This window comes from Homo sapiens, chromosome 19, assembly GCF_000001405.40.
Source record: "Homo sapiens chromosome 19, GRCh38.p14 Primary Assembly".
NCBI lineage: Eukaryota > Metazoa > Chordata > Mammalia > Primates > Hominidae > Homo > Homo sapiens.
Window position 1 is genome coordinate 52962896 of NC_000019.10, and position 5355 is coordinate 52968250.

Sequence of the window (5355 nt, forward strand, 5' to 3'; positions counted from 1 at the left end):
GACAGAAGCGGGACCTGGGCCAGATCCCCGAGAGGTGGGCGGGGCCTGGGCGAGGCCGGGGCGGGGTGCAAAGGACAAGGGGCCCGGCGCGGAAGAGAAGAGTCTTGGGCTGGGAGGAGTCCGCGGGGGCGGGAAAGGGGCGGGGCCTGAGCTTTTCTCCATCTCGCTCTCCGCGCCTCTGTTTTCAAGGTTTTAGAGGTGAAACCCGCCAGTGAGGCTGGAGCAGCTCAGCAGTCAGGGAAATAGTACCTCCCTGAGAAGTCGCCGTGTGGCGGTAATTGGATCCGGGAAAGTTCCTTGCTATTGAAATTTATTTTAGCAATTTAATTCCAAAGCCTGGAAGTTGTCTACGGCAGGAATGCAAACTAGAATGCGAAATGCAAAGCCTTGCCTGAGCGAAAGGTACAATTTCATGCTGACGGTCCACAGAACAGAATAGAAATCCTCTCCCTTTCAATTCTCCATTCACTGGAGTGGGAGAGTCCACACTGTGCTCAGCTCCTGAGACTTCCCTAGGGCCACCGTCTGGGGTGCGGAGCAGAGGAGTGTGCTTAAACACAGCAGGGATGCGGGCGGGGTGGCAGGAGTCTGGGGTCCCCGCTACTCAGGAAGCAGGGGCGAGAGGATCGCTGAGCCTGGAGTTCCAGGCCAGCCTGGGCGACAAAGTAAGACCCTCTATCCCAGAGCTCCCTCCTCCGTCTCAATAAACAAAAAAGTGATTTAAAAAAAGCACTGACATTGTAACAGTGCATATAAGTTGCCCAGTTGTTTCTTACGTTTATTATTTCATGCTGCACTTAAAATGAGTTATTTTTGTCGTGGAAAAGAATCAAACTGTAAAATATCTTAAGAGATTTATTCTAAGCTAAATATGAATGACCCTCAGGAGGTCCTGAGAACATGTGTCCAAGGTGATGGGGAACAGCTTGTTCTTAGACATTTTAGGGAGGCATTAGACATCAATCAAATACATTTAAGAAATACGCTGCTTTGGTTCAGAAAGGAGGGGCAACTCAAAGCGGGGACTTCTGGGCTACAGGTAAATTGAAACATTTTCTGATTGACAATTGGTTGAGTTTGTCTAAATACCTGGGATCAACGGAGAGGAAATGTTCACGTTAAGGTAAAAGATTGTGGAGACCAATGTTGTTTTCAAGTCTTCTATTGGCTGCCCTTAGAGATAATAGATGATAAGTGTTTTCTATTCAGACCTTTAAACAGTGCGAGATTCTTACTTAATCTCTTCAGGATTGGTAGGGCCTAGAAGAAAAAGATCTAGCTATGTTAACAGAGATTCTTTACAAATGCACATGTACCCCTCACAAAGAACAGCTTTGCAGGACCATTTCAAAATATGGCACAGAAACATGTTTTGGGGTAAAATATTTTGACTTTCTTCTTTGTCACGTTATTCCAGAGTCAGACTGGAAAGTAAGACAGGATATATAGGACTAAATAAAACCCATCTGATGAGTATTTATGGTTTGTAGGGCATGACTCCCCAGACCCTTTAGATAGGAATTTGGGCAAGAGAAAAAAATTAGACCTTGGTCCTCATTCTCAAATTCTTTTTTTAAAAAATAATTCCTAAGTGTATTGTAATATCAAATTCACTTTACGTGCCTTCTGAAAATAAGTAGAAAATGTACTTTTTATCTTCAAGTTGTAATTTTTTTTTCCCTAGAAACAGGACCTAGTTCTGACACCCAGGATGGAATGCAGTGGTGGGAACACTGCCCACTGCAACCTCAACCTCTGGGGCTCAAGCAATCCTCCCGTCTCACCTCCCAACTAGCTGGGGCCACAGGCCCTCACCACCAGGCCTGGCTAATTTTTTAATATTTTGTAGAGTCGGGGGTCCACTATGATGCTTAGGCTGGCCTTGAACTCCTGTACTCAAACAATCCTCCCACCTTAGCTTCCCAAAGTGTTGGGATTAAAGGCGAGCTACCACACCCATCCAATTGTAATCTATTTTGGGTGTTTTCTTTGTTGTTCTCTCCTAAGTGTTCTATCAGGTGTGAACAACAAAGGCTGTAAAATAGGCAGTCTTCAAACATTGGGATTTATTTTCATATAGAGAATAATTATGAGATATTACTAAGGATACATTGCAGTCAGGTTATTCTGTTTTACGTGGGCCCTGAAGAAAATATAACTAAATTACAAAATTGGCTGGGTGTGATGGCTCACACCTGTAATCCCAGCACTTTGGCAGGCCTAGGCGAATGGATCACCCTGAGGTCAGGAGTTTGAGATCAGCCTGGCCAACACAGCGAAACCCCATCTGTACTAAAAATACAAAAATTAGCTGGGCATGGTGGCATGCGCCTGTAATCTCAGCTACTCAAGAGGTTGAGGCAGGAGAATTGCTTGAGCCCAGGCAGCAGAGGTTGCAGTGAGCTGACATCTCACCATTGCACTCCAGCCTGGGCAACAGAGTGAGACTGCATCTCAAAAAAAGAAAAAAAAAATTATAAACTTTTACATCACCGCATTTCTGCATGCAATAATTTTATGGCAATATCTGTAAGTTAACATGTACTATGAACTATATTTTTCACTCACATCCCTAGTTATCGAAGGTTTCATTTATCAAATACTAGTAATTAGCTAAAACATAATTATGTTTAGGAAGAAATTAGCATATCTAAAATATTAGCAAGTTTAAAAAAGCATAATGTGGCCAGGGATGGTGGCTCGTGCATGTAATTCCAGCATGATGGGAGACCGAAGCAGAAAGATAGCTAGTGGCCAAAAGTTGGAGACCAGCCCAGGCACATGGTGAAACCTCATCTTTATATTTTAAATATTTATGTATCTATGTATTCATTTATTCATCTTTGAGATGGAGTTTCATTCTCATTGCTTAGGCTGGAGTGAAATGGTGTGGTCTCGGCTCACTACAACCTCTGTCTCCTGGGTTCACGTGACTCTCCTGCCTCAGCCTCCCGAGTAGCAGGTATTACAGGCATATGCCACCATGCCTGACTAATTTTCTATTTTTACTAGAGACGGGGTACCTCCATGTTAGTCAGGCTGGTCTCGAACTCCCGACCTCAGGCGATCCACCCACCGCAGCCTCCCAAAGTGCTGGGATTAGAGGCCTGAGCCACCATACCCAGCCTCTATGTAGCTTTGTAAAAAATCCTTGTAGCTGTCTCTTTTAGGAATAAAATGGGAGGCAGGTTTGTCTGACACAGTTCCCAGCCTGACTTTTCTCTTTGGCTTAGTAATTTTTAAGCTTCTTTCACAACCTTCTGACAGACATAATGCTTTGACACACTGATATTGGTTTATATAGATTTTCCAAAACAGTAAAGTCCAAGGGTCTATCCTGAACTGGGTTAGCGGAGGCGAGAAGATTCCCAGAAGACTCCTGATCTCAAGCAATCCTCCCACCTCAGCCTCCGAATGTGTGAGGACCACAAGTGTGATCCACTGAACCCAGTGGAGTCTCCATCTCAAAAAAAACCAAAAAGCAATACGGGAATTAAGGTACTCTATGGAATTACATCATTTGACTTTTTTTTGAAATGAAAAGCCTCACATATTTATTACTGAACCCAGCCAACCAACATGTTCATAACAGATTCAGAGAGAAAAAATATATTCCCAATAAAACATGTCCAACTCTCCAGATAATGGTGACATTTTCTGCTTGATATGGTAACGTGATTGTAATGCTCAGACAGCATAAAAATGTGTGCCATCTCATGTACAATTCCTTATAGACACGGATTGGTTCTTCTCCAATGTCTCCTTTTAAAGTTGTACCTGATTTTATTACCAGTTTTCATCTGAATCCACTGGGGAATGGAACAATTTTGCTTTTTTTCTTGGCCAGGAATTGCTTAATCCTGATAGTCTTATGAGAAGATCTGGTGAGAAGCAGAGTCAAGTACACACCATGATGGTGGAGAAAGGAAGAGAAGGGGCTTGACATCTTTTTTTTTTTTTTTTTTTTTTTTTTTTTGAGAGAAAGTTTCACTCTTGTTGCCCAGGCTGGAGTGCAATGGCACTATCGGTTCACTGCAACTTCCACCTCCTGGGTTCAAGCGATTCTCCCACCTCAGCCTCCCAAGGAGCTGGGATTACAGGTGTCTGCGACCATACCTAGCTAATTTTTGTATTTTTAATAGAGATGGCATTTCACCATGTTAACCAGCCTGTTCTCAACCTCCTGACTATTGTTTCTGCTGTTAGCTGTCAGTCCTCTTCATCACGGCACAAACAAGATTATTGTTTTTCTCTGAAACTGATGTGGATGGTCTGCCTGCTGCTCCACGTGTAACCTTCAACATTGTCTTCTCCCAACTCAAAATTAGTTATCCATTTACAAACTGTTGATTTCTTTTGGGCATCGTCCCCATAACCTTTTCATAAAGCATCAATGATATCATAATTCATCTACCCAAACTTTACCATAAGTATTCTTTTTTTGAGACATGCTGGAGTGCAGTGGCAAGATCACAGCTCACTGCAGCCTCGACCTCCCAGGCTCATGCCATCCTCATGCTACAGACTCCACAGTAGCTGGCCCTGCAGTCAGGTGCCACCCTGCCCAGTGAATTTCTGTATTTTTTGTATAGAAGGGGTTTTCACCATGTTGCCCAGGCTGGTCCTGAATGCCTGGGCTCACGTGACCCACCTGTCTTGGCCTCTGAAATTACTGGAATTACAGACCTGAGACACTGCAACTGTTCTCATCATAAATTTTATGTTTCTTCTTGTTTCAATTTTAGCAGAATTTGTATTCCTTTGATACAGTCTCTTTTCAAACTCATGTCTTATCCTTCTCAGTGCCTCAAACTAGAGCCTGTTCAGACATGTTATAACAGATTTGTATCAGTTTATTTTGGTGCAAAAACTGTGAAATTCATGCACAATTTTTCCATAATATGTATTTTTCCATGAGCTTCTTGAAGACCACTTGTACTAGAAAACTGTATTCAAGAGGATATATAAAAGGATTGTAGATATGCAAGTGCCATTTACTTCTGGCATGCAAGGATGGTTCAACATATTCAAGCAAATCAATGTGATATACCACTTGAACAGAATGAAAGATGAAAACCACATCATCTCAACAGATGGAGAAAAATCATTTCACAAAATTCAGCATCTGATCATCATAGAAATCTTAAACAAAATAGATGGAGAAGGAAATTTACCTCACCAATAGAAAGACCATTGATGAAATGACCAATGTGGAGATAACCAAGCAGGGAAAATAGAATCCTTTTCCCGTAGGATCTCACATGATGCAAGAACGTTCTCACTTTTTCTATTCAATAAATACTGGAAGTCCTAGCCAGAGCAATGAACTAGCAAAAGAAATGAAATGCCTCAAAA

General features: G+C 42.5%; 1 annotated feature.

The window, feature by feature from the left end:
* Positions 14-213: a silencer, noted in NCBI's record as "silent region_11002". NCBI's record gives its function as "represses an Ori minimal core promoter by ATAC-STARR-seq in GM12878 lymphoblastoid cells {active_cell/tissue: GM12878}" and the evidence as "EXISTENCE:reporter gene assay evidence [ECO:0000049][PMID:35858748]".